This window comes from Homo sapiens, chromosome 6, assembly GCF_000001405.40.
Source record: "Homo sapiens chromosome 6, GRCh38.p14 Primary Assembly".
In the NCBI taxonomy this organism is placed as follows: Eukaryota; Metazoa; Chordata; class Mammalia; order Primates; family Hominidae; genus Homo; species Homo sapiens.
In genome coordinates this window covers 89,681,236-89,708,299 of record NC_000006.12, presented here as the reverse complement: position 1 = coordinate 89,708,299, position 27,064 = coordinate 89,681,236, and the positions used below count along the sequence as shown (strand labels likewise).

Genomic DNA, 27,064 nt, shown 5'->3' with positions numbered 1-27,064 from the left:
ACAGGGTCTAGCTCTGTCACTGAGGCTGGAGTGCAGTGGCATAATCTTGGATCACTGCAACCTCTGCCTCCTGGCCTTAAGCCATCCTCCCACCTCAGCCTCCCAAGTACCTGGGACTACAGGTACATACCACCACACCTGGCTAATTTTTGTACTTTTTTGTAGAGACAGGGTTTTGCCATGTTGCCCAGACTGGTCTTAAACTTCTAAGCTCAAGTGATCCACCTGCCTCATTCTCCCAAAGTGCCGGGGTTATAGGTGTGAGCCACTGTGCCCAGCCTGGTTTTTGTTTGATTCCCAGCAGCTCCTCCCATTTTCACCTACTTGTTTTTACTTGTCTCTTCCTCAGCAATCTCTCTGTCCACATCATTTCCTGTCCTCAAATGTTGGAGACATAATAGCACCTCCATACTTATGTACACACTCACATATGAATTTACTTAATTTTCAAAGTGAATCCACAAGTATAGTGTGTACCTCAGAGGGTGCCTTGCAAGCTACCAGCCCCCTACTCCTCTGCTCCACCAACTCCTCCATTTCTACCATGGCCACTTTGAAGAGTTCACGGTGCAGTTTGTCAGATCGTGACAGACCAAGGCCTGGGAGTCTGCCTAGACCCAGCTTTCTCCATCCATCGATCTTTCCTTTCACCTTAGTAGTTGTCACTTTCATCTCCATCTCTTTAGTCCAAGATTTGCAGAGGCAGGAGAGGAATGGCAGGATGAAGGACCCTGATGTTCCAAGTGTTCCAGCAAATAGAGGATATGATTGAAAATGTTATTAACCGATAGCTATTTGTTACGTTTTTTGAATCTCATTCCAGGACAATCATATATCTTGACCGGGAAAAACGGGTTTTTACTGAAGCAAATTTGGTTTCTGTTGGTAGCAAAAAGCTAAGAGAGAGTGTTTTGAGAATGTCCTTTGAATTCCATCAAGGTAAGAACATTTACCTTTTGTGTTCTCTAATTAAGCATCTGATTGCATAATGTTGCTAAAGTTGAGAGGCATATTCAGCAGCTGCTGTTGTTTACTGGTTTCTTTTAATCTGCTGGCCTGATTTTAAACATGTCCCCTTACTCAATAGTAATGACTAACATTTACTGAGCACTTACTTTGTGCCAGGTGCTTAGCTAAATGCTTTTTATGTGTCCTTGATCTCATTTACTTTTTGTAGCCACCTGTGATATAGGTCCCCATGTTGTTAGTGAGGAAACGGAGACACGGAGATGCTCAAGGTCACGTCTCTAGCAAGTAACAGAGCCACTTGAAAACTAGGTCTGTCAGCTGAAAAAGTACATATTCATAAGCATTTATTATAGGAGGGAGCATTTCTCCCATGTTTTTTTTTTGTTAATTGAAAAGATAGTTGTGCTTGTTGGAAAAAATTCAAACTATTAAAGTATAAAAATTGAAAAAGTTCATCTTTACATCAGCTACTGTTAGTAATAGTTTCATTTATGTTTTCTCATATCTATTGGTATTAACTATCTATCTAAACATATGTACTTAGTTTTCATTTTATACTTAAATACTTGTATAAAATATACATTTTTTTCTTTATAATCTGCATTTTTCCGTGAGACATTATTTACATCTGTAGGTATACATGCCTCATTTGCAGAGTTTAATAATACAGATTGAACATCCCTAATATGAAAATTTGAAATCTGAAATGCTCCAAAATCAGGAACTTTTTGAGCACTGACATGATGCCACAAATGGAAAATTTTATACCTGACCTCATATGATGAGCCATAGTCAAAATGCAGTCCAAACTTTGTTTCATGCACAAAATTATTAAAAACATTGTAAAATAGAAAATTTGGACTATGTGTTTCCCCAAGATACCTCATTATGTATATGCAAAGATTTCCAAAATCAAAAAAAAAAAATTGAAAATCTGAAAGACTTCTGATTCTAAGCATTGCAGATAAGAGACACTCAACCTGTAGTAGGCAAAGAATTTGCTTTTGCTTTTGCTCTCAAAATTGACCTTTGTACTGGGGATAACATTTAAATTCTAGATTACAGTTTATTTTGAAAATGTCCAGAGATTATTTTAAATCTGATGAAATGTTCTCATTTTATTTATGTTGACTCTCAGATCCAGAAAGCTATCACACTCTGCCCCATGAAATTGTGGTCAATCTTGCTGCTTTTTTTGAACTTTGTGATGCACTAGTCCTGCTCTGGGTACAGTCCTCCCAGGGAATGGTGTCTGATGCCAGTGCCAATGAGGTAAGGAACTGCATCTTGTTTTATTTTTAAACAACAAAATTTATCTTTCTTGGCATAAAGATTCTTAGGGCTAAGACTAACTTTAGTGTTGTTATATGCCCAATATTATTTAAGAAACTTATTCTTAACAGTTTTAAATATACCTATACACATATTTAAAATCTTCATTGGGGTATAATTTACATATTATAAACTGCATATATTTAAAGTGTATAAGTCTTGACATGTATACACCTGTGAAACCATTATCACAGTCAAGATAATGAACATATCCATCACCCCCAAAGGTTTCCTCATTCCCTTTTTGTATTTTCTTCTTTCCTGCTCCCACCCACAACGAGGTAGCCATTGATCTGCTCTCTTACTGTGGATCAGTTGTATTTTCTATACGTGGAATTATGCAGTATATATACTTTTTTGTTTATATTCTTTCACTCAGCATTGTGATTTGGAGATGCATCCATGTGGTTTCATGTATCAGTAGTTCATTCCTCTTTATTGCTGAGTAGTATTCCATTGTGTGGATCTACTACAGTTTTTTTATTCGCTCACCTGTTGTTAGATTGTAACAGTTATATTTTAATCCACTTAAGTCCTCTTAGACATTATTGTCACATGTGGATTAAATGGAATTTTTAATCCAGATTATTCTAGTAAGTCTAGTAAAGTAGAGCAGCCAGTCTTAAACTTTTTGATCTCTGCCTCTATACTCTTAAAGGTTCTCAAAAACTCCAACGATGTTATATCTGTCAGTTTTTACATATTAAGAACTGAATCTGAAAAACATAAAAAAAACCCATAAATTTGCTTAAAAATACAGTAGCAAAGAATTTCACGTTAATATGAATAACTTATTTTCAATAAAAAATAGCAATTTCTAAAGTAAAATTTGAGAAATGTGGAACTGTTGTACATTCCTGCAAGTCTCTGTATGTCTGGCTTGTGAAAAGATGGATTCTTGTAGTATGTTGTTTGGGATAAAGTTTATGAAGAAAAACTGGCCTCCTATAGTTAGGAGGTTGGAAAGGAGAGGAATATTTTAGTAACCATTTCATATAATTTCAAATATTCTTATTTGATGGCACACCAAAAATGACAAGTAGTTTTGTAAGGGTTATTTGCAATGGAAAATCTGAGCAAATAATCAGTGAACTTCTTGTGTTAAAATTCATTGGCCACGGCCAGGTGCGGTGGCTCACGCCTCTAACCCCAGGACTTTGGGAGGCTGAGGTGGGCGGATCACGAGGTCAGGAGATCAAGGCCATCCTGGCTAACACGGTGAAACCCCATCTCTACTAAAAATACAAAAAATTAGCCAGGCATGGTGGCGGGCGCCTGTAGTCCCAGCTACTCGAGAGGCAGGAGAATCGCTTGAACCCAGGAGGCAGAAGTTGCAGTGAGTCGAGATCGTGCCATTGCACTCCAGCCTGGGGGACAGAGCAACACTCCATCTAAAAAAAGAAAATTCATTGGCCTAGTTTGCACCTTGGATAGACTTTGACCCTGCATTAGTTTATAGCTCGTGCACTGGTAACTTGGAAAATACTGTTCACTGAGTTGGCACATTTCATTCTTCAATATAAATAAGTAAAAAGTCACACTTGTGAAAAATCACAAATCTCTTCAGAAAAATCGTTACCAGGAAGTCATCAAACTCTGTTTTCCAGAATTTTTTTTGAGACAGAGTCTCGCTCTGTCGCCCATGCTGGAATGCAATGGCGTGATCTCAGCTCATTGCCAACCTCCGCCTCCTAGGTTGAAGCAATTCTCCTGCCTCAGCCTCCTGAGTAGCCAGGACTACAGGCACGTGCCACCACACCCAGGTAATTTTTGTATTTTTAGTGGAGACGGGGTTTCACCATGTTGGTCAGGCTGGTCTTGAACTCCTGACCTCAGGTGATCCACCTGCGTCAACCTCCGTAAATGCTGGGATTACAGGCATGAGCCACTGTTCCTGGCCAGTTTTTCAGAATTCTAAGTTTTGCTTAAAAGCTGAAATTTTATCATGGCAACATATATCCTCAATTTTTTTTTTTTTTTTTTTTGAGACGGAGTTTCTCTCTTGTTGCCCAGACTGGAGTGCAGTGGTGCCATCTTTGCTCACTGCAACCTCTGCCTGCTGGTTTCAAGTGATTCTCCTGCTTCAGCCTCCCAAGTAGCTGGGATTACAGGCGCGTGCCACCACGCTCAGCTAATTTTTTGTATTTTTAGTGGAGATAGGGTTTCACCATGTTGGCCAGGCTGTTCTGGAACTCCTTACCTCAGATGATCTGCCTGCCTCAGCCTCCCATAATGCTGGATTACAGGTATGAACCACCGCACCTGGCCTCTCAATTGTTTTTCTTGAAGTGACAGGTTCACATTGATTTTCAATACAGTGTCTGTCAGATAGTCATAATTTGCCTGCCAGTCCTTCTTTTTTTGTACTATTAGTGTAAATGTCATCATAGTGAAAATGGCAAATAACATGATATTATGAAAATAGCTTTGACTTCATGGAACCACTATAGGAAATCACTAATCTAGAAACAATGTTACTGTGAAAATGCATTATTCAAAGAGCCATGTTGGAGACTCATATTACCTGATTTGCATTGCAACCCTGTATTAAACAAAACCGTATGGTATTGTCTTAAGAATAGACATTTAAACCAATAAAACAGAGGATTCACAGATAGACCCCCCCCCCTTCCCCATACATGGTCAGTTATTTTTGTTTTGTTTTTTGTTAAATATGCAAAGGTAATTTAATGGCAAAAAATGGTCTATTCAGTAAATGGTGATGGAAGAATTAGATGTTTATATAAAGTAAAATGAGCCTAGCCAGGCACAGTGGCTCATGCCTATAATCCTAAGTACTTTGGGAGGCCGAGGTGGGTGGATCACCTGAGGTTAGGAGTTCGAGACCAGGCTGGCTAACATGGTGAAACCCCATCTCTACTAAAAATACAAAACAATTAGCTGGGTGTGGTGGCAGGCGCCTGTAATCCCAGCTACTCAGGAGGCTGAGGCAGGAGATCACTTGAACCTGGGAAGCGGAGGTTGCAGTGAGCTGAGATTGCGCCATTGCACTCTAGCCTTGGCGATGGAGCAAGACGCTGTCTCAAAAAAAAAAAAAAAGGGCCTTTACCCCTACCTCACATTATATGTAGTTACCTCAACATGGATGAAACCTTTAAAAATAGAACTGACACTATGAGCTGGCTAAAAGAAAACGTAGGAGAAGATCTTTACAATCTAAATATAGGCAAAGATTTTTTAGGATTCTTTCTAAATGAAAAAAAATTGATAAATTGATTTCATCAAAATTTAAAACTTCTATTCTTCATAGATACCTTTATGAACATACTGTGAGAGAATGAATATACTGGGAAAAACTGCTAACAAAACACATAAATTCCATAAACTAGCTATAATACAACCTAGTTTTTAAAATGAGCAAGACATCTGAATAGAATATCTTCTTGGAAGTTCTATGAATGCCCAGTAAGAACTTTAAAAATTGCAGTGTCATCAGTTATCAAAGAAATGTAACTTGAAACCGCAGTGCGGTACCATCCACCAGAATAGAATTAAAATTAAAACTAAAGTTAAAATCATTAACAGCAAGTATTGGCAAAGAAATGAAACAACTGAAACTCTTCTACACTTCTGGTCGGAGTACAAAATGGTACAGCTGCTTTGGAATACAGTTAGTAGTTTCTCATAAAATCTATACTTTGACCCAGCAATTCCATTTTCTCTAATAACTTCATGCTTCAAATACTAAGAGAAAAGATCTTCACCTCCTCTGTCTGCCTTACTGTTCCTACATATATTCCAGTCCAGTCTTAGACTTTTGGTGTATGTAAATTGAGCATTGATTAGCAATTATAGCCTATGTTGTGTGTCTTTTCCCGGGAGATGTTGGTGAGCAGTCTTGGTTCACTTTGTTTTTATTTTTCTTCTTGCTTTAGTCTTTCTTCATGCCATCTTATCTAAGAGACTTTGTTTTTAGATCTTAGGTTCTCTGCGGTGGCGGGACCGGTTCTGGACTGTGGCCGACACAGTAAAAGTAGATGCCCCAGGTCTGGCCCTTCTTGCCCTCCATTGGCACTGGGTTTTAAAACATCTGGTCCACCAGATCCCCCGACTTCTGATGAATTATGAAGACAAGTAAGATTCATATTTAGAGTAATAATGTCAATGATTACAGATAGATGTTAAGGATAAGATTTGGAACCGAAACTGTTTCTTCTTGCTTTATTTTGGTTTATTCCCTTGGCATATTGGTGAATGTACAATTAAAAGAAAGAAAGAAAGAAAATATTAATGGCTTCTCTTACTGTCTAGCATTTCCCCCTTTCCTTATTTCCCCTGTGCCCTTGTTCTCCTTTAAAGATATTACAAAGAAGTTCAGACTGTCTCAGAACATATTCAGAATTGTCTGGGGAGCCAGACTGGTGGCTTCGCTGGTATAAAGAAGTTGCAGAAGTTCCTGGGACGACCGTTTCCTTTTAAGGTACACCTGGAAGCATTTAGTAAATAAAAGAAATGTGACTACTACTTCTGAAGTCCTTTTGGAACTTGGGAACTGACATTGTATAAGATTAATCCTTGTCTTGAAAGCATAACTCTTGCAGTTTTCCTTTGGCATCTGGGGGTGATTGGTTCCAGGATTCTCCTTGGATACAAACCTCCAGGAAAGTCCAAGACTTTTATATAAAATGGCGTTGTGTGTGTATATAACCTATGTACCCTTTATATCATCTCTAAATTACTTACAGTACCTCATACAATATAAACGCTGTGTAAATAGTGATTATACTGTATTGCTTAGGTAATAATGACAAGATAAAAAAGTCCTTATGCGTTCAGCACAGACGCAACCATCCATTTTTCCCCCTGAATATTTTCGACCCACGGTTGGTTGAATTGATGCGGAACCCGCACATAACAAGAGGGCAGGCTCTATCCCATGAATCCTGTTTAGTAATTTGCTACATATTATCATCTTACTTATTCCTGAGACTGTTAAGGCTGGGTAGAGAGTTAACTTTATTACCACTGTAAAATCTCTTGACAGCAACAGAAATAAACAAGTCCTTTGTTTTCTGGAAACATTAAGAATATATCATAAATTTATTCTGAGACCTGTATAGGCTACTAAAGAAAACCACATTTGTGCTCTATAGTATGCTCTTGTGGGTGTTGTTGTTTCAGGACAAGCTGGTGGTGGAGTGTTTTTCACAACTGAAGGTCCTTAACAAAGTCCTTGCCATCAGGGAGCAGATGTCTGCCCTTGGGGAGAGTGGATGGCAGGAAGACATTAACCGTCTCCAAGTGGTTGCTTCTCAGTGGACATTAAAGAAAAGTCTCCTGCAAGCCTGGGGACTGATCCTCAGAGCAAATATTTTGGAAGATGTCAGCCTAGGTAAAATATTCTAGCACTTGGCTAGCTGACAGATGCTCTGAAAATATCCTCTTGCTGGTAGTTAATAAGTTTTCCCTTAGATTTTTCTTTTCTGGGTGATGTGAGGGGTAGAGTTTATATACCTTTATATAAGTGTCAGGCATAGGACTAAATTTCACATATATTTTTAATTCCATCAGAATCATGTGGGTATTAATATCATTTCACAGATGAGAATCTCAAAGCTTAGGTTAAGGAGCTTAACTCTGATTAGCTCAAGTTAAGCTTGCAGTCACATAGCAGGTTGTTGAGAATCTAGAGGCTATACTCTTAACCATTGTGCTCTCATACAACATTTGTCTTTTTGTCCAGATGAATTGAAGAATTTTGTGCATGCTCAGTGTTTAGAACTGAAAGCCAAAGGACTCTCACTTGGTTTTCTGGAGAAAAAGCATGATGAAGCTTCCTCCCTGTCCCATCCAGACTTGACCTCCGTAATCCACCTCACCAGGAGTGTTCAGTTGTGGCCTGCAATGGAGTACCTGGCTATGCTTTGGCGGTACAAAGTGACAGCTGATTTTATGGCACAAGCTTGTCTCAGAAGGTAAACCATGCTTTCAGTTGTTTTCCTTGCGGGAACTTTTTTTCTTGATTATTCTGTGTATCCTATACCCATAAACAAACCACAGACTTGATAGGGATGGTTACCGAAGCAGAGGGAAGTGATTTGCCACTTTGGAAAGCCAAAATTTATTGAAGGTTTTTTTTTTACTAGTTTTGACTCTACTTTAAAAGTCACCGAGAATTTTATCAGTAGAGTTGTTCATTTTTAGATAAATGTACTGTAAGTTTTATGTTACACCTTCCCTAATGTAGCAGCTTTCCAGTAGTTCATTGATAGTCCATACCCCACCCTCTCCCTCTTTATTTTTGGAACAGATGCAGCAAAAATCAACAACCCCAGATAAATGAGGAGATAAGTCACCTCATCTCATTTTGTCTTTATCACACACCTGTTACACCTCAAGAGCTTCGAGATCTGTGGTCCTTGCTGCATCATCAGAAGGTAAAAATCACAATAAGACATAAGCCTCCTTTACATTATGAGTTGGTTAGATTTTCTTTGACAGACTGGTTGGGAAACATTTTATTTATTCTCAAAATTCCATATTGGAAACCTCAGGTTTTTTTGAATTGCCTCTTAAAGGGAAGAATTTTAAATATTCTTTTATAGTAATTATGAGGGTATATTACAACTCTTATCACAGGAGTATTCATTTGGTTTCCAATTAAATGAGATGAAAATATTTGCTGCTTAAAATCTCCCAATTGCTCAAAAATATATTGTGAGAGTGTTTTTTATACTTTTTTGTACTTTTCCTCTCTAATAAATTGAATATGAATACTGGTACACTCCTGTTAATAGAATTTCATTAGTACAGCTTTAAATAAAACTGTAAACATGTCACATTCCTTGACCAAGTTGACTGGGGTGGCAGAGAAACGGAAAAATTTGGATTAATACCTTTAAACTTATGACAGTTTTAGATGGGCCTTAGAAGAAAGAAGACCTAATAATTTATGGAGTCTTTCTCAGGTATTCTCTTACCTAATTATTCCTTTATTTCTAGGTGTCTCCTGAAGAAATTACATCTTTGTGGTCCGAGTTATTTAATTCCATGTTTATGTCTTTCTGGAGCAGTACTGTGACCACAAATCCAGAGTACTGGCTAATGTGGAACCCTTTGCCTGGTATGCAGCAGAGGGAGGCACCCAAGTCTGTTTTGGACTCCACATTGAAGGTTTGTTGGTCTAAAATTATAAAAAATGTTTGATAGTGGCAAAAGAGTTTCTGAATGGATCTATCAATAAACATTTATTCCTAGCATAGAGTGGTGACTAAACAGGTGATTGCAACACTTTACTTTCTGCAGAATGTTAAATAAGTGTACTGTCAGTAAAAGTATACCATGTTAAATAATTTGTGAAATTTTGAGATAAGTCAAAAAAGGTTTTATTGAAAAAGTCTATTTTTTCTAATTAAAACATTTTTCCCACTATAAAACATTTAAACAGTGCAGATATATGTATATATAATACAGAATTCATTAGAAATATCCACTCTGTTCTATATCCTTCTGTTTACATATATTTTTATATTAAATACATACGTAAACAAGAATTAAGTACACATATATGTAACAGAAATGTGTATGTCATTCCAGCTTATTTTTAAAAGTTATTCCATTGTATCAATGTGCTTGAATTTATTTTAATCACTTTCTTACCGATAAAGTGTTGAAGTTTCTTGCATTTTCTCCCTCTTCCTATAATAAGCATGCCACATTGACTATCCTAGTATACATCTTTGTCCACTTGTTGGAGCATTTCTATGCATAAGTTGTTAGAATTAGAATTGAATCCTTGGTCAGAGTGTCTACACATTAAAAACAAAATTATGGTTATTGCCAGACTGGAAATGTGGTTTTTGCTTTTCACTTTTTTAAAGATGTGAAGAGCCAGTGAAGAGGGAAGTCCTGAAGTCTTAGATGACCACAGTGAGGTTTAGTTTCCTTTAACATGGAGATGAGGACCTGTTCATCTGCTTGCTACACTAGCTGTTATAAACATTTTCAATTGTTTCTGTCATATAGTTAAAAAGAACTCATTTGCACTTCTTTGATAAGTGTGAAGATTGAACATATTTTCACGTTTACTGATCCCCTTTAGTTCTTCTCTGAATTTTCGAGTCATAGTTGTGCTTTTTTTTAAAAAAAATTGTGTTGGTCAGGCGCTGTAGCTCACGCCTGTAATCCTAGCACTTTGGGAGGCTGAGGTGGGTGGATCATTTGAGGTCAGGAGTTCAAGACCAGCCTGGCCAACATGGTGAAACCCTGTCTCTACCAAAAATACAAAAATTAGCTGGGCAGTAGTGGTGTGCGCCTGAATCCCAGCTACTTGGGAGGCTGAGTCAGGAGAATCGCTTGGGCCTGGGAGGCAGAGGTTGCAGTGAGCCAAGATCGTGCCATTGCACTCCAGTCTGGGTTACACAGTGAGACCCTGTCTCAAAAAAAAAAAAAAATAGGGTTGTTCAGCGTCAGTTTATTATTGAAGATCTTTTTATGTATTATGGATATTAAGCCTTTGCCCAATATGAGTTGGAAGTATATTTCTAGTTTTCTGTCATCTCTCAAGTTTGTTTTCTTATATGTCACAAGTTTTATAATTTTTTTCCCTCCAAATATGCCAGTCCCTTCTACTTATTGACTTTAGTGTCATGCTTTTAAAAAATTTCTTCCTCCATCACTTCGAGTTCAAAACTATTTTCCATTATTTTCTCCTATATTTTTATTTTATGTTCAAATCTATTTCATCAGTATATGTTGTTTTATGATATAGGGATGCAAATTTTTTCTTTTATACAAACAGATCCAAAAGCGATGTAATAACATCATTTTGACTAATTCCTCCTTTCCACTCTCATGTGAAATGCCTTATTGCCCCAAATGTTTTTGGATTTACCTGAACTCTATTCCATTCTTTTGCACTATCAAAATGGATTTATTGTAAAACACCCCTCAAAGCCTTTAGTGATAAACTTTGGATCCCTGAGGGTTGTATGGCATTATACAGAGTTGACTATCACACACATTTGGCTGTCACCCTTTGACAACCCTTTGCTGTGGACAGCTATTACTGTGTCCCATCTAACAGTCTAAGGAGCACAGACATGGCATATTTTGTCCCTGGCTCTTACATCTGTCTCTCACTCCTTTCCTTGCACCCTGAGTTGGCTCTTATCCTCCTGCAGTGTGTTTCTTTCCCTTCTGCAAGAATGTGCTCTCTGATTCCCAGGTTTGCGGGCTTTCCTCATGCATTACTAAAGCATCCATTGCTCATTTCCTAGAGCATGGAGTCCACTTTCATTTAAGGTATACTAACCTGTTCTGTCCTTCTAGGCCAGTCTCTGAGTGATGCTTACCTGTTCCAAGCAACCTGAACTGTCTGTTTCTTTCCTCTCAGGTTCCCTAATGCTGCTTCTGGAAATTGTCTTAATTTCTAAAAGTTATTGACTCTTCTCTTGTCCTTTAGGGCCCCGGCAATCTCAATAGACCCATATTCTCTAAGTGCTGCTTTGAAGTCTTAACCAGCAGCTGGAGAGCAAGTCCCTGGGATGTGAGTGGCCTCCCCATTCTTTCCTCCTCTCACGTGACCCTAGGAGAGTGGGTTGAGAGAACTCAGCAGCTCCAGGACATCAGTTCGATGCTTTGGACTAACATGGCTATCTCTTCAGTAGCAGAATTCAGGTATTCCCTCGCCCTGGAAGCAGACTGTAAAGTTCCTGTCTTTTCTCCACAGCATGGAGCAGAGACCCAGTGAGAACTTCCTTCTGTAGTGGCTAGTTCTGGTGTTTGAAGTGAGGGTATTTTCTGCCTGAATCAGCATGTTTTCAGGCTACCGTGAGCTGGCTGGTTCCCATGTCAGTTTTAAGCATATTGTGATCAAGAGGGTGAACTTAGTAAACCAAATAAGACCATGTGAGAACAGAAATTCACCTCTACATATTGATGCTGCATTCTGTGGTTATCATTTCTTGAGAGAATTATACTGTATGAAAAGGAATGCTTTTTGATACAGTACAAACCTTTCAGTGCTTTCTTTTTGTCCCCACAGACGCACGGATTCCCAACTCCAGGGGCAGGTGCTGTTCCGGCACCTGGCAGGCCTAGCAGAGCTGCTCCCAGAGTCCCGGCGGCAGGAGTACATGCAGAACTGTGAGCAGCTGCTGCTTGGGAGCAGCCAGGCCTTCCAGCATGTGGGCCAGACACTTGGGGACATGGCTGGTCAGGAGGTGCTGCCCAAGGAACTGCTCTGCCAGTTGCTCACCTCCCTGCACCACTTTGTTGGTGAAGGGGAGAGTAAGAGGAGCCTGCCTGAGCCAGCCCAGCGTGGGAGCCTCTGGGTGAGCCTCGGCTTGCTCCAGATTCAGACATGGCTTCCCCAGGCACGCTTTGACCCTGCGGTGAAGAGGGAGTACAAGCTCAATTACGTCAAGGAAGAGGTATGGGAGGCAAGAGTATGGAGCATGGGCTCCTTCCCTGACGTGCTGGGTTTGCTTATTGTATTACTCCTTTTATTCCCTTTTGGGTGCTCAGATCATCACAAGCATGATATTGCATAAGTTGCCTTATGACTTCCCAGGAGTCTGTTTTAGAGACTGTATTTTCCCCTTTGAGAGTTGTCCTGACTATACTCATGCTCTGGGAGGAGCCCTTCCTAAGGTTCTGAGATCTCTGCCAATAGGTGCAATGGGCAGAGGGCAGGTAGAAAACCTGAGCCATTGTCAGAAATAGTGGTACCTCTCACTGTCTCTGGACTCTCTCTACCTGAGCTTAGTTTTGGATATTTGGGTTTTTGTTTGTTTGTTTGTTTTTGAGATGGAGCCTTGCTTTCTCGTCCAGGCAGGAGTGCAGTGGCACAATCTCGGCTCACTGCAACCTCTGCCTCCTGGGTTCAAGCAATTCTCTGCCTCAGCCTCCCGAGTAGCTGGGATTACAGGAACCCGCTACCACGCCTGGCTAATTTTTGTATTTTTAGTAGAGACAGGGTTTCACCATCTTGGCCAGGCTGGTCTTGAATTCTGACCTCAAGTGATCCACCCGCCTTGGCCTCCCAAAGTGCTGGGATTATAGGCATGAACTACCATGGCCAGCCTGGATTTGGATATTTCTTTAGATAGAATATAGTATCCCTATATCCTAGGAATTTTTAACTTATTGGTGCTTGCTATCTAAAACTCAAGAATCAAGTAGAGGCTGGGTGTGGTGGCCTCACCCTGTAATCTCAGCACTTTGAGGGGCTGAAGTGGGAGGAGCAGTTGAGCCCAGGAGTTTGAGACTAACCTGGGCCACCACATAGTAAGATTCCTGTCTCTACAAAAAAAGGAAAAAAAAAAAAAGCTGGGTGTGGTGGCATGTGCTTGTAATACCAGCTACTCACGAGGCTGAAGCAGGAGGATCACTTGAGCCTGCGGGGTCAAGCCTGCGGTGAGCCATGACTGCACCACTGCACTCCAGCCAGGCTACAGAGCCGAGACCTTGTCTTAAAAAAGAGTCAAGTTGATTTGGGTAATGTGGTATCCCTTGCTATTTGAAGTTTTGAACCAAGTTCAGGAACTAAATACATTAAGATGATGGTATGTTAGTACATATTTTGAAGAAGGAAAATTATATTAGTTGGAGTGAAGGCTAAGCTCCTATAGCAGAGAGACTAAAAAATTCAGTGGTGTAAATAAGATCGTTTCTTTCCCCTCACAGCTCTGATGTGAGTGGTGTAGATTAATGGAGCAGAGCCACCTCTCCTTGGGTCATTCAGGAACCCAGATTCCTTCCATCTTGTTCCTCTACGTGTCCCCAGGACATTGTCCTCATGTGCATGGTCATAGCTGGGACACAGTGGACTAACTTCTCTCTTTTCCATTAGTTACACCAACTGCAGTGTGAATGGAAGACCCGGAACCTGTCATCCCAGCTGCAGACTGGAAGAGACCTGGAAGATGAAGTCGTTGTCAGCTACTCTCATCCTCACGTCAGGTAACACAGCAGAGTGATTATTTGTTTTGGGGATTATTGACTCTCCTTTTGATGTAATGTAGTTATGGTGTGAGTAGAAGTGATAATATACACCTCTAAACTACATTAGCAATTAGATGCCAAAGCATTGTTTATAGTCAGGAAAAATAATATGCCTTGTGAAAGGAGGAGAGGGGGGCTATTCAAGGTGTGTGTTCACATGGGGCCAAGATGTTTGAAGCCAAAACTTAGTCTCAGCATAGAAGAAGTGGGGTGTGATAGTATGCACTATATTTCTCTGCTATTCTTGGCTGTAGGTGTGTTACTAGGAAATATGGTACGGGTTGGGGATCCCTTATCCAAAATTCCTGGGACCAGAAGTGTTTTGGATTTGGGGTTCGTTTTTTTTCTTCAGATTTTGGAATATTTATACCAGTTGAGCATCCCGGATCTGAAAATCTGGAATCCAGAATACTTTAATGAGCATTTTCTTTAAGTGTCATATTGTCTGGCAGTCAAAAAGTTGGGAGCATTTTGGATATTTGGATTTGGGATGCTCAGCCTGTATAGTGTAGTAGGTTCTGAGTTCCAGTCCTACTCCTGACCTTTGGTTTTAGACATTGGGTAGATCACTTAATGGCTTACATCTCAGTGTCCATATCAGCATAAGAAGGGTAATTGTAGTTATCTACTCCAGTGAGTCATGATGAGGCTTCAGTAAGATATGCATCTGAGCACCAGCAACATACATGACACAGTAACTGCTGTGTAAATGTTATCCATTTTCATTAACTAATTGTCAGTATTATCACAACTGAGATGATATTGGAAATATTATTTCGCAGCAGCTGATGTTTCTTCCTTCGGTTTTCCTAGCTGAGGATCCAATCTAGATTTGCTGCTCTTCTTCTGACATAATTGGCATATTGTGTTAATTTCCCGTTAGGCTGCTTCGCCAAAGGATGGATCGGCTGGATAATTTAACCTGTCACCTGTTGAAGAAACAGGCCTTTAGACCCCAGCTGCCTGCCTACGAGTCCCTGGTTCAGGAGATCCACCACTACGTCACCAGCATCGCCAAGGCCCCTGCTGTTCAGGATCTGCTCACACGGCTTCTGCAGGCCCTCCACATAGATGGGCCACGGTCTGCCCAAGTAGCCCAGAGCCTTCTAAAGGAGGAGGCCTCTTGGCAGCAGTCACACCACCAGTTCCGGAAGCGGCTGTCAGAGGAGTACACCTTCTATCCAGATGCCGTGAGCCCACTGCAGGCATCCATATTGCAGTTACAACATGGCATGAGGCTGGTGGCCTCTGAGCTCCACACCTCACTCCACAGCAGTATGGTTGGTGCAGACAGGCTGGGGACCCTGGCCACAGCCTTGCTGGCTTTCCCATCGGTGGGCCCCACCTTCCCGACTTACTATGCTCATGCAGACACTTTGTGCTCGGTGAAGTCTGAGGAGGTTCTACGAGGCCTTGGGAAGCTAATCCTCAAGCGCTCAGGAGGAAAGGAGCTGGAAGGCAAGGGCCAGAAAGCCTGTCCCACTCGGGAGCAGCTGCTGATGAATGCTCTCCTTTACCTGCGCTCCCACGTGTTATGCAAGGGAGAGTTGGACCAGAGGGCCCTGCAGCTCTTCAGACATGTGTGTCAGGTGAGCCATCTCTGGGAGGCCTGCCCTGCCCTTCCTCCTGCAGAGAGCCAGGTTCACAGCAGGGCGGCCTGCAGGACATTAGCATGCCTAGTAGATACACAGTGTCGTTGGGGCGTGGGCATTTTGTTTTCTGTTCCTTCTTTTTCCCTATTTAACTATCATGTTTGGGGACCTTTGCCTCTCAATTTTTAAGAGATTAAAAAAAAATGAGAGCGGCCTTTATTATACACTACATGTGTTTTCTCCCAGTTTGTCAGTTGTCTTTTGCCTTTTTGGTAATTTTGCCAGGTACTTATGTCAACTTGCATTAAGATGTTCCCTTATTAATAAAAGTAATTTGCTCTCATTGTATGCAATTAAGAGAATACTAAAATTTCTAATGATCCTACCACTTAAAGCTGTATAAACGCTGCTAACATACCAGGTATCCCATTCCAGGCTTGCTTGTATGTGTATATATATTAATATTTATCTGTAGCTGTATGTCTGTGACACTCTAAATTATTAAAAATTTGTCCCAGTGGCTTACAAATTTTTTTTTGTAGTAGCAGCAGCTTTTAAAAAATACAAATCTTAGCATAGTTAACAGAAAAAAAGAGTTGCTCCGGTTAAGGTAGATTCTAATCCCCACCAGGGCCCCTGAGACATGTCCTTAAATTGCTACAAAATGTACAACAAACCACTAGTAAAGTTTATTCTATTTGATAACTCTGTTTGCTTTTAAAAACTTCATGTATAGTGATTATTTTCCTGTTATTCTGTATTCTTCACCTGCTTCATATTTAGTGACTGCCAAGTATTCTATTGTATGTTTATGACACAAGTAATTTAACTATTTTCTTATCATTGAACATTTACATTTGTATATACTTTTACTGTTTTGCCAAAAAAACAAAAAAAAACAAAAACCAACCCAATGCCACAGTAAATAGTCTCACAGCTATATATTTGGATACAAATTTTAGAGATCAGGATTGCTGGGACAAAGATTAAACACACTTCTTAGGCTTTACATGCAAATTACCTTCCTAGATGGTGGGTGCTTATTTCCTCAACCTCAGCAGTACCGGATGGTTCTTTAAGTTAGAATTTTTGCCAGTTTAAAGATCTAAAATCTTAGAAGTGGTAGGGAATTTCAGAAGTGTCTGGTAAGACACATTCCAGTTTTGCCTGATTGGTGCCCTTTGACCACCCAGTCCCTAGTCTAAGTGTTTCTTTTCTGAACCCCTTGGCCAGCTCCTTGGGGTGCCACCCAGGTGTTGTCTGAACCACAACCCTCTCATGGCCAACCCTGAGTCTGTCCTTGTTACAAAGCACCTTTACCTCTTGACAGGAAGTTCCCATTAGCTGTACTGTGGCAAGTTTTACACCTTCAAAATTACAATGACACAGCAGGGGGGATTTAGGAAACTGGTTGCTGAGGCTACACACTTGGAAAACAAAACCCATTTGCTCTTTATTCCATGGAATTTAGTTTCTTGGATGTTGGCTTTTATTTGTTTTTGAGTCATGATACTTTCATTTTCATGAGAAATTAATAGCAAATCTTGCCTTTGTGAATGCCTCAGCAAAGAAAGCTCAGCTTCTTTCTGTCTGTGTGACTTTCAGGAAATCATCAGTGAGTGGGATGAGCAGGAACGCATAGCCCAAGAGAAGGCTGAGCAGGAAAGCGGCCTGTATAGATACAGGAGCAGGAACTCTAGGACAGCCCTGAGTGAAGAGGAGGAGGAAGAACGGGAGTTCAGAAAACAGTTCCCCCTGCATGAAAAGGTAGAGCAGTGATGGCAGGGTGTGTTTTGGAATGAATTCCCTTGATGCCATATACATTCCCTCTGATGGCTTTCTCTCTTCCTCTTTATCTCTCTCTCTGTATGTATGTATTTTAGAGACTGGGTCTTGCTCTATCACCCAGGCTGGAGTGCAGTGGCGCAATCATAGCTCACTGCAGCCTCAAACTCCTGGGCTCAAACAATCCTCCCAAGTAGCTGTGACTGCATGTGCATGCTACCACACCCTGCCGTTTTTATATTTTTTACAGAGACAGGGTCTCACTATGTCACCCAGGCTGTCTCAAACTCCTGACCTCAAGTGATCCTCCCTCCTCGGCCTCCCAAAGCACAGGGATTACAGGTGTGAGCCACTGTGCCCAGCCTGTAGTCTTTTAAAATATATTTTAATACATATATTAGTCCTATTTCATTTTTTCAGTCATTCTTATGCTTTTTTCTTTCTTCCTTTTAGTCTGATTAGAAGTAGATTCTGATTTTTAAAAGTTCAATTGCTCTAATGCTATTTATAGGACTTTGCAGATATTTTGGTGCAGCCAACGTTGGAGGAGAACAAAGGAACTTCAGATGGGCAAGAAGAGGAAGCAGGCACAAACCCAGCTCTCCTCTCCCAGAATTCAATGCAGGCAGTAATGCTGATACACCAGCAATTGTGTCTCAACTTTGCTCGATCCCTCTGGTATCAACAGACTCTGCCGCCACATGAAGCAAAGCATTACCTCAGCCTGTTTCTGTCTTGCTATCAGACTGGGGCATCGCTTGTGACACACTTCTACCCCCTGATGGGTATGGTAGTTTACTTTTGTTATGCCCCTGGGAAATGAAAGCAAATGCAAATAGATGCTGTTGCTACTCTGTAACAATCACACTCATGAATTTCCTGTTTTCGCATAATTCCTTATTGGAGTTTCCTTGGCTTAAAGAACTGAAGCTGATTCAAGAAAATTGATTTAGGATTCTGTAATAAGATGGATTTTCATCAGTGTACAAATGGGCCAAGAAAAAGATGGATTTTTATTGTTTGGATCCTTTGGGGTGAGGGATTAAGAAAATAAGGACAAGGACTTAATTTAAATGTGTACGTGTATGTGTTTTTTTTTCCTTAGCATTATTTCTGCTGTCAAATAGCCTTAGTGCTTTTGAAATGAAATAACACATACCTGGGAGCAACCAATCTTGTAGAATATGGTTTAATAGTTGGTTCATTGCAGTTTCCTACATGATTTCTTGGCATTATTTCATAGAAGTAGGAAGGAGGCTTTAAGTTTCCTTTCTGTTTACCTAGAATAGGTATAAAAACTGGGAATTTGGATGCACTGAGTTAACCCCTACACCATTTGTTTATACCTAGGCAGTTTCTGACTTCCTCTGCACATTCCAGAAACTTGAGAGCTTTAGGTAGCTACTATAGTATTAGGATTACAGTTCTCTAGGCCAATGTTGCTTTAGGGGAGAATAGCATTCATTAGTCCCAATTAGTTCATTGTTGCTGATGTTGCTGATGCTCTGTTTCTCAGGCTGGAGTGCAGTGGCACAATCTCAGCTCACTGCAATCTCTGCCTCCCAGGTTCAAGCAATTCTTGTGCCTCAGGCCCGCAAGAAGCTGGGATTACAGGCACATGCATGTCTGGCTAATGTTTGTATTTTTAGTAGAAAAGAGGTTTCACCATGTTGGCCAGGATGGTCTCAAACTCCTGGCCTCAAGCAATCTGCCTGCCTCGGCTCCCCAAAGTGCTGGGATTACAGACATGAGCCACTGCACCTGGCCCTGTTGCTGACATCTTTTTGACATGTTGATAGATCAACTTACTGAATTCACTGACTTTACCGTGATGTTAACTTCACAGGAGTTGAACTGAATGACCGACTCTTGGGCAGCCAACTTTTGGCCTGTACCCTCTCCCATAACACTCTTTTTGGGGAGGCACCCTCAGACCTGATGGTGAAACCTGATGGGCCCTATGACTTCTACCAGCATCCCAATGTTCCAGAAGCACGGCAGTGTCAACCTGTGCTTCAAGGTTTCTCAGAGGCTGTCAGTCACTTGCTACAGGACTGGCCAGAACACCCAGCGCTTGAACAGGTAGGGCAGCTGTTGAGGAAGGAGTGCTCACAGTACTGAGTCTGCAATGAGGATGCAGCCTCACCATTATCCCTGGGGGCACCCACTTGCACATATATACATATAAACAAAGGCTTAAAGAACTGCAGTTCAATGAGATGTTACTTACTAACTGCAGGATGAACACACCAGTTTTGTATTTCTCTTGTGTAAATGATTGGGGATTCTGTTAATTTTATTTGTTGGTCAGGAGTTGCTGACCACATAATAAAATGCTGCCATGTTGCTCTGTTTTTTTTTTCAGAGGTGTTTTAAAAGTAGAGAACTGGGGGGAATCTTCTGGTCAGGACTCTCTTCAGTACCCTGTGACTTAGGATCACTGGTATTCCTACTGAGATACCCAAATCTTTATTTCTGCAGCTCCTGGTTGTAATGGACAGAATTCGTAGTTTCCCACTTTCCAGTCCCATCTCAAAGTTCCTGAATGGCTTAGAGATCCTTCTGGCAAAGGCACAGGTGAGCTAATACCTCTCTTCCTCATTTTAGTTGGTGGTCAGTTGGCAAAAGATACGTCTTGTGGCACCTTTGTTGTTAGACAGAAAATTATAGTTTGGGCTAGAAAAAGGTAAACATCCTTGGTTTTTCTGGCATGGGGTGAGATCATTGCAAGTGAGGCTGTTGCCCCTGTGGTGAGGGCTAGCTGCCTTGCCTTTTATCCAGTGGGATGCAGTATCTACCGGTAATGAGGGTGCACTCCTCCCAGCCTTCCAGGTGGGCCTTCATTCCAACTGAGTGCCCACATACACGGTTCCCCTCAGTGCCCTCATGGCCTCTAAGTTAGCTGTTGCCTCCCCATTGGACAGAAAAGGGCCGCATGTCTTTGTTCTAGGTCAGATAGCAAAGAGCACGAATTCAGGCTCCAGTCTATAAACACTGTGCTTTTTTGCCAGCCTCTAAACTTGGCTCTGGTGGAGTTCTGTCATGTGAACAGAAAGAACTTGAAGCTGATACACTGTAAATTCATTCCTACAATTGGTGCAAGTTGTTTAAGGGCCCAGTAGTCTTCACTCAAGCAAAGTTCAAGATGTTCTTGAGGAAGGAGGTGATTATGGCATTGAATAATATCTGTAGTAAATTTTATCTTTGTTTCTTTAGGATTGGGAGGAAAATGCAAGTCGAGCTTTGTCTTTGCGGAAACATCTTGATTTGATCAGTCAGATGATCATTCGGTGGCGTAAACTGGAGCTGAAGTAAGTGACTCTCCTTCCCTCTCCTAAACTTAGGTTGTAAGGGCTTTTGTCTTTTGGTAGTTTAAATTTCTTTAGGATTTATATAGTATTACAGCTACAGAATGTGCTTTTCAGTTATTAATCACAGAGTTAAAAGTAGGGCATTAAAATGACCTGAATACAGTCCAGACAACAGCATATATTCTTGAGGGAGGAAACTGGGTGGCTCCTCCATCTCCATTTGGGAGGAGAGAAATGTGAGCATGTAGCTTCTGCATCTTTGGTTTCAGATATTTCAAATAGGTTTTCCTAAATGCCTCCTTGGCTTCTTCTCGTTTCAGCTGCTGGTCCATGAGTTTGGATAATACTATGAAGCGCCACACCGAGAAATCCACCAAGCACTGGTTCTCCATCTATCAGATGCTTGAGAAGCACATGCAGGAACAAACAGAAGAACAGGAAGGTAATGCCTAGCAGTACATTTCCTGCCCACTTAGAGCTTCCCGGCTAAATGGAGTGCTGCAAAGTGTAGGATTTTCCTGCTCCCGCTTCTCCCGCTACATGGCTTTCATGGGAATGCCTCCCATTTGACTTCATGATATTTCTGAGAGGTCAGCCAAGAAAACTGTAAATCGTGCTTATCTAACTGAGAGAATAATAACAAAAGTGTGAGAGGTTTAAATGTCTTCTCCAAAAGTCTAGAGAACCAGTCGTAGGATAAGGTTTCCGTCTTCTCTATGTCCATGATAGAAGTCAAACTGAAAGCTGACTTTTTGGTAGGTAGTAGCCAACATGCTTGAATGAACAGTCTTTTATTTTATACTTGTGACAAGCACCTTATAATTCATTTTCATAATTTGCTGTGAGTGCATTTAACACATGCTCTATGTGCAGCTGCTACTTTTATTTATTTATTTATATTTGTTTTTTATTTTTTTTTGAGACAGAGTCCTGCTCTGTTGCCCAGGCTGGAGTACAGTGGTACGATCTCAGCTCCCTGCAATCTCCGCCTCCCAGGCTCAAGTGACTCTCCTACTTCAGCCTTCTCAGTAGCTGGGATTACCGGTGCCCAACACCATGCCTGTCTAATTTTTGTATTTTTAGTAGACACGAGGTTTCACCATGTTGGCAAGGCTGGTTTTGAACTCCTGACCTCAAATGATCTGCCCGCCTTGGCCTCCCAGAGTGCTGGGATTACAGGCGTGAGCCACCACACCGGCCTGTTACTTTTAAATCAGCTTAGAATTTAGCCATGGTCCTTGCTTGAGAGCTTCACATTGTGATGTCTACCTCTTGGCCATCCGTAGTATCCCAAATAGATTGCGTGCATGTTAGGAATAGGGAGTCATGGTCGAAGGAACATATATATTTTTCTCTTTGAATTTTTAAAGATGACAAACAGATGACCTTGATGTTGCTGGTCAGCACATTACAAGCATTTATTGAAGGATCCTCGCTGGGAGAGTTCCATGTGCGACTTCAGATGTTACTGGTTTTCCATTGTCATGTCTTGCTGATGCCACAGGTTGAAGGAAAGGGTGAGGATTTTTTTTTCCTTTCCTTTGACATTGCACGACTAAAATGAGTTAGGCTTTGAATTCTCTGCATGAGACAGGTGCCTTGTTGCACGCTAGGTTTTAAACAAGACACATTTAGTTATGTTTAATGCGATTCACATTAGATATAGAGAAGAACATTCAAAGTGAGGTGCAGATGGTTATAAGTTTAGTACTGACTAGTGAGCTCTGGCAGAGGTAAATTGCCAGATGAAGATCTCAGGACCTACCATGTTGAGGCAGCACATCTCTCTGTCTAGACATTGTAAATGTCCTGCTAAGCTGCTCCTTGATCCAGGCCATTATTAGTTTCTTTCATCCAGTGAGAGCACTGCCAGCCATCAAGGAACTGCATCTAAAACTGCCCGCTGTCAAGTACTATCCCTGATCACAGCAACTGGGATAAAAGTCTCACTACAAGATGAGTATAGATTGTACATGAATGAGCATTTGAGGTGAACTGCTTAATATGCCATCTTTTAAAAAAAGCTCAGTTTCTGCTGATTTTACAATAAGTTTCACAGAAGGAATTTGACATTGTGATTTTAGAAGAACCTAGGAGTACATCATCTTCAAGAACAAAAGTGCAAAAAAACATCTGTTACAAGCAGAAGTGAAAAATAGGGGAGTGTTGACAGCCTGCATCTCTGGGAAATGCTAAACTCAGACAGGATCCCTAAATAATGCACCTGTGAAACTCACTGTAATCTCATGGCATAGAGAGTAATGAGGAAGGGTCATCACTGAAATATGAAGGCCACAGCTGGCACCAGTAGCACATGCAGCAAGTGTGGTATTTTTGTTTCCTTTTCATTTCTTCCAGATTCACTTTGCAGTGTTCTATGGAATTTGTACCATTATTACAAGCAATTCTTTGACCGGGTCCAGGCCAAAATTGTGGAACTTCGTTCCCCCCTAGAAAAAGAACTTAAAGTAAGATGAACAGCTGTCATGATCACTCTTGGGAGGACAAAATCAGCAAATTCTCTTTCGTTAACCCTGTTATCCATTTAACACTGAGGCAGGGACCTAGGGGAATAGAGGTGAGCATTGCCACCGCTAGGGAGGATGGCAATATGTACATCGGTGGCATTGGCTTCTTTTGTCACCTGCAGAGTGTGTGAGCGATTGGTGGAGTGGCCAGTCAGAGCCTCCTCAGAGGACTGCCACAGAAATCTGTTTGTGTTCCCCTGGTCTTGCCCAGGCCTGTCTCCCACCTCAGAGCTATGCCATGTTGTGTTGGTCCACACACTACTGAATTACCATGGGGGAAGGAGGGACCGCTCTTTTTGATATTCTCAGTGGTTGTGGAACCAACCATGGTACAAGGGACATGACTAACTTGGTGGTTCCTAAGCTGGAGTATATGTCAGGTGACTTAATGACTGTAGCAGCACTCTTTTTTTTTTTTTTTTTTTAAATCACTTTGAGACCAAAACATTTGTTGTTTTTGTTTTTGTTTTTTGAGACCCAGTCTCAACTCTGTTGCCTAGGCTGGAGTGCAGTGGCACGATCTCAGCTCACTGCAGCCTTTGCCTCCCGGGTTCAAGCAATTCTCCTGCCTCAGCCTCCCGAGTAGCTGGGACTACAGGTGCAAGCCACCAAGCCCGGCTATTTTTTCTATTTTTAGTAGAGACGGGGTTTCACCATGTTGGCCAGGATGGTCTCAATCTCCTTACCTTGTGATTCCGCCCACCTTGGCCTCCCAAAGTGCTGGGATTACAGGTGTGAGCCACCGCGCCTAGCCCATGGTTTCTTTTTTAGACTTGTTTTACTTGTTCACTGACACACAGTCCTGTGTTTGGGATAGAGTGAGCTCTGGTCTTTGCTGAACAGAAATCTAGAAAGAAACAGAATGACACTAGCTTTATAAAGCCATTTCTTGAACATCATTTATCTTACAGGAATTTGTTAAGATTTCCAAGTGGAATGATGTCAGCTTCTGGTCCATTAAGCAATCTGTAGAAAAGACACACAGGTAATCCATCTTTTAAAACTGGAGACAACCAAAATAGAATAGAATTTTGTGTGGTAGGGAGCAAAACGACATAGTTACCATAACCTAACTTAATATTAAGTGTGTTAAACTTCTCAAAAAATAACACCTTGATTGTTTTGATGTTGCTTTCAACACCACCCCCTTCTTCTCCAAGCAAAGTCTACCTGCAGTAAGGATTAGTGTGCCTTGAGACAAAGCAGGCTATGTCTCAAGTCTTCTGCCACCCACTAGCTGTATACTTTGAGCAAAGCAATCCCATTCTTTCTGGCTTTAGTTTCTCTTCTAGAAAAGGAGGATAACAGTACCTGCCATACTTTTTCTCTTAAAAATAAAACAACTATTAATATTTAAGGAGAGCATTGTATATAAAAGGTACAGGGTATTAGATTATGTATGGATGCATGATAATGTATTTTTTATATGTCTTCACTTGCTAATCCAGTTTTTTTCTTCTTATCTCTGTCATTACCTGGGGACAGGACACTCTTTAAATTCATGAAGAAATTTGAAGCAGTCCTGAGTGAACCCTGCCGGTCATCCCTGGTGGAGAGTGACAAGGAAGAACAGCCTGACTTTTTGCCCAGGCCAACAGATGGAGCTGCAAGTGAACTGTCTTCCATTCAGAATCTGAACAGGGCACTGAGGGAGACCCTGTTAGCCCAACCAGCAGCTGGGCAGGTACTTGGTTGTGGGACAGTGCTGGCTTATTCCCAAGCCAGTCAAGTGGGATCTGTGTTTTATGTGCAAGGCATGCCTCAGTACTAGACAAGAAAATGCCTTTGAAATCTTGTTCTTTGGACATATATAGCATGTATTTGCCTGACTTCCCTGCAGAATAAGGCAAAAAATCTTGGGGTTTTTTTTTTTGCTTTTTTTTGAGACAGATTCTCGTGCTATTGCCCAGGCATGATTATGGCTCACTGCAGTCTCAACCTCCTGGACTCAAATGATCCTTCCACGTCAACCTCCTGAGTGCTGGGACCACAGGCACATGCCACCATGCCTGGCTATTTTTTTTTTTTTTTTTTTTTTTGTAGAGATGAGGTCTCACTTTGTTGCCCAGGCTGGTCTTGAACTTTTAGTTTTTTTTTTTTTTTTTTTTTTTTTTTTAAGACAGAGTCTCGCTCAGGCTGGAGTGCAGTGGCACGATCTCGGCTCACTGCAAGCTCCGCCTCCTGGGTTCATGCCATTCTCCTGCCTCAGCCTCCCGAGTAGCTGGGACTGCAGGTGCCCACCACCACGCCTGGCTAATTTTTTGTATTTTTAGTAGAGACAGGGTTTCACTGTGTTAGCCAGGATGGTCTCGATCTCCTGACCCCATGATCTGCCCACCTCAGCCTCCCAAAGTGCTCGGATTACAGGCGGGAGCCACCGCTCCTGGCCGAACTTTTAGTCTTAAGTGATCCTCCCTGCCTCGGCCTCCCAACGAGCTGGGATTATGGGCATGAGTCATCGCACTTGGCCTTGCTGCTTAAAATTTAATGTCAGCCTGTGAGAAATAATTGTGCTTTTACCTGTGAACATTTCATCTGCTATGAGCAAAGATTTGAAGCATCAGTTTAAGAATATGCCGTTGAAGCTGCCTGTGGGCTACCACATGAGGAAGCTACTGCACAGGGTGTGAATATGTGCCGTGATGTGCTGGTTTATAGCAGATGCTGATTACTGTGGTGTAAATACTCCTATTATGGCCAATTTCAAGCACCAACAGTTAAGATTTGGCTTGCAAAATTCCTGAAAATTTAACAGTGATACATCTTGAGTTAGCAGGTCTGTTACAGAATGGATGTTCCTGCTTCATGTCCTTGGGTGTGGGGAGCTCCAGGATTGGAAGACACCCCTCAGGAGAGTAATTTCTGGGCAGGCGTAGTGGCTCACGGCTGTAATCCCAGCACCTTGGGAGGCTGAGGCAGGAGGATCACTTGAGCCCAGGAGTTTGAGACCAGCCTATGCAACGTATGAGACCCTGTCTCTCCAAAAAAAATTACTTTTTAAAGAGTAATTAGCTTTGTCTTCTTACTGTATTTCCTACCTGGGGCTCACAGAGTTAGTAATGAAAGTCCTTAAGCTATTTTTGTTATTTTAGTGGTTCAAAACTCATAATAGAAACTGAGCATACAGCCATAAGATGGCTGCAGAGATATGATATGGCTACCAAATTTATTTTCTTTTGACTGTATTTGTCAGCTCACTGCTTCTGTCATTCTGATCAACAATTTTGATTTGCTAATAATGACAACATAGGAGTTTCAGGTTATTCCTCAAGGAAAAAAAAATGAAAATATGCCCTTGATGGACGAAAGCTCTTCCCTTCATATAACATCTGAATTCCTGTGTCTGAGGTGCGGTGGCTCATGCCTGTAATCCCAGCACTTTGGGAGGCCAAGGCAGGCAGATCATTTGAGACCAGGAGTTCGAAACCAGCCTGGCCAACGTGGTAAAACCCCATCTCTATTAAAAATACAAAAAATAGCCAGGCATGGTGATGCATGCCTGCAATCCCAGCTATTCGGGAGGCTGAGGCACAAGAATCACTTGAATCTGGGAGGCGGAGGTTGCAGTGAGCCAACATCG

General features: G+C 41.4%; 1 protein-coding gene and 1 long non-coding RNA gene across 2 annotated transcripts in view, besides 3 other annotated features; one reads left to right on the top strand and one right to left on the bottom strand.

Annotated features, from left to right (window-relative positions):
* Positions 1-27,064, top strand: part of MDN1 (midasin AAA ATPase 1) — a 177,297-nt gene that overhangs the window by 111,495 nt on the left and 38,738 nt on the right. The window contains exons 52-73 of the mRNA NM_014611.3: positions 824-939; positions 2,108-2,241; positions 6,239-6,396; positions 6,622-6,742; positions 7,444-7,654; positions 8,006-8,237; positions 8,573-8,699; positions 9,265-9,435; positions 11,726-11,940; positions 12,308-12,695; positions 14,117-14,226; positions 15,152-15,857; positions 17,466-17,627; positions 18,157-18,430; positions 19,492-19,727; positions 20,127-20,222; positions 20,862-20,956; positions 21,277-21,398; positions 22,327-22,473; positions 23,315-23,424; positions 24,396-24,469; positions 24,970-25,168. Of these exons, the coding sequence (NP_055426.1) occupies positions 824-939; positions 2,108-2,241; positions 6,239-6,396; positions 6,622-6,742; positions 7,444-7,654; positions 8,006-8,237; positions 8,573-8,699; positions 9,265-9,435; positions 11,726-11,940; positions 12,308-12,695; positions 14,117-14,226; positions 15,152-15,857; positions 17,466-17,627; positions 18,157-18,430; positions 19,492-19,727; positions 20,127-20,222; positions 20,862-20,956; positions 21,277-21,398; positions 22,327-22,473; positions 23,315-23,424; positions 24,396-24,469; positions 24,970-25,168 (4,204 nt within the window). The remainder of the gene's footprint in view (positions 1-823; positions 940-2,107; positions 2,242-6,238; positions 6,397-6,621; positions 6,743-7,443; positions 7,655-8,005; positions 8,238-8,572; positions 8,700-9,264; positions 9,436-11,725; positions 11,941-12,307; positions 12,696-14,116; positions 14,227-15,151; positions 15,858-17,465; positions 17,628-18,156; positions 18,431-19,491; positions 19,728-20,126; positions 20,223-20,861; positions 20,957-21,276; positions 21,399-22,326; positions 22,474-23,314; positions 23,425-24,395; positions 24,470-24,969; positions 25,169-27,064) is intronic.
* Positions 11,914-12,414: an enhancer, noted in NCBI's record as "H3K4me1 hESC enhancer chr6:90405605-90406105 (GRCh37/hg19 assembly coordinates)". NCBI's record gives its function as "activates a minimal SCP1, AML or CMV promoter by ChIP-STARR-seq in naive H9 embryonic stem cells {active_cell/tissue: H9 hESC(naive)}" and the evidence as "EXISTENCE:reporter gene assay evidence [ECO:0000049][PMID:30033119]".
* Positions 12,415-12,915: an enhancer, noted in NCBI's record as "H3K4me1 hESC enhancer chr6:90405104-90405604 (GRCh37/hg19 assembly coordinates)". NCBI's record gives its function as "activates a minimal SCP1, AML or CMV promoter by ChIP-STARR-seq in naive H9 embryonic stem cells {active_cell/tissue: H9 hESC(naive)}" and the evidence as "EXISTENCE:reporter gene assay evidence [ECO:0000049][PMID:30033119]".
* Positions 18,161-18,710: an enhancer, noted in NCBI's record as "OCT4-NANOG-H3K27ac-H3K4me1 hESC enhancer chr6:90399309-90399858 (GRCh37/hg19 assembly coordinates)". NCBI's record gives its function as "activates a minimal SCP1, AML or CMV promoter by ChIP-STARR-seq in primed H9 embryonic stem cells {active_cell/tissue: H9 hESC(primed)}" and the evidence as "EXISTENCE:reporter gene assay evidence [ECO:0000049][PMID:30033119]".
* Positions 18,819-27,064, bottom strand: part of MDN1-AS1 (MDN1 antisense RNA 1) — a 50,950-nt gene continuing 42,704 nt past the window's right edge. The window contains exons 3-4 of the long non-coding RNA NR_111915.1: positions 24,171-24,331; positions 18,819-23,406 (exon numbers count right to left, since the gene is read on the bottom strand). This is a non-coding gene — a long non-coding RNA (MDN1 antisense RNA 1). The remainder of the gene's footprint in view (positions 23,407-24,170; positions 24,332-27,064) is intronic.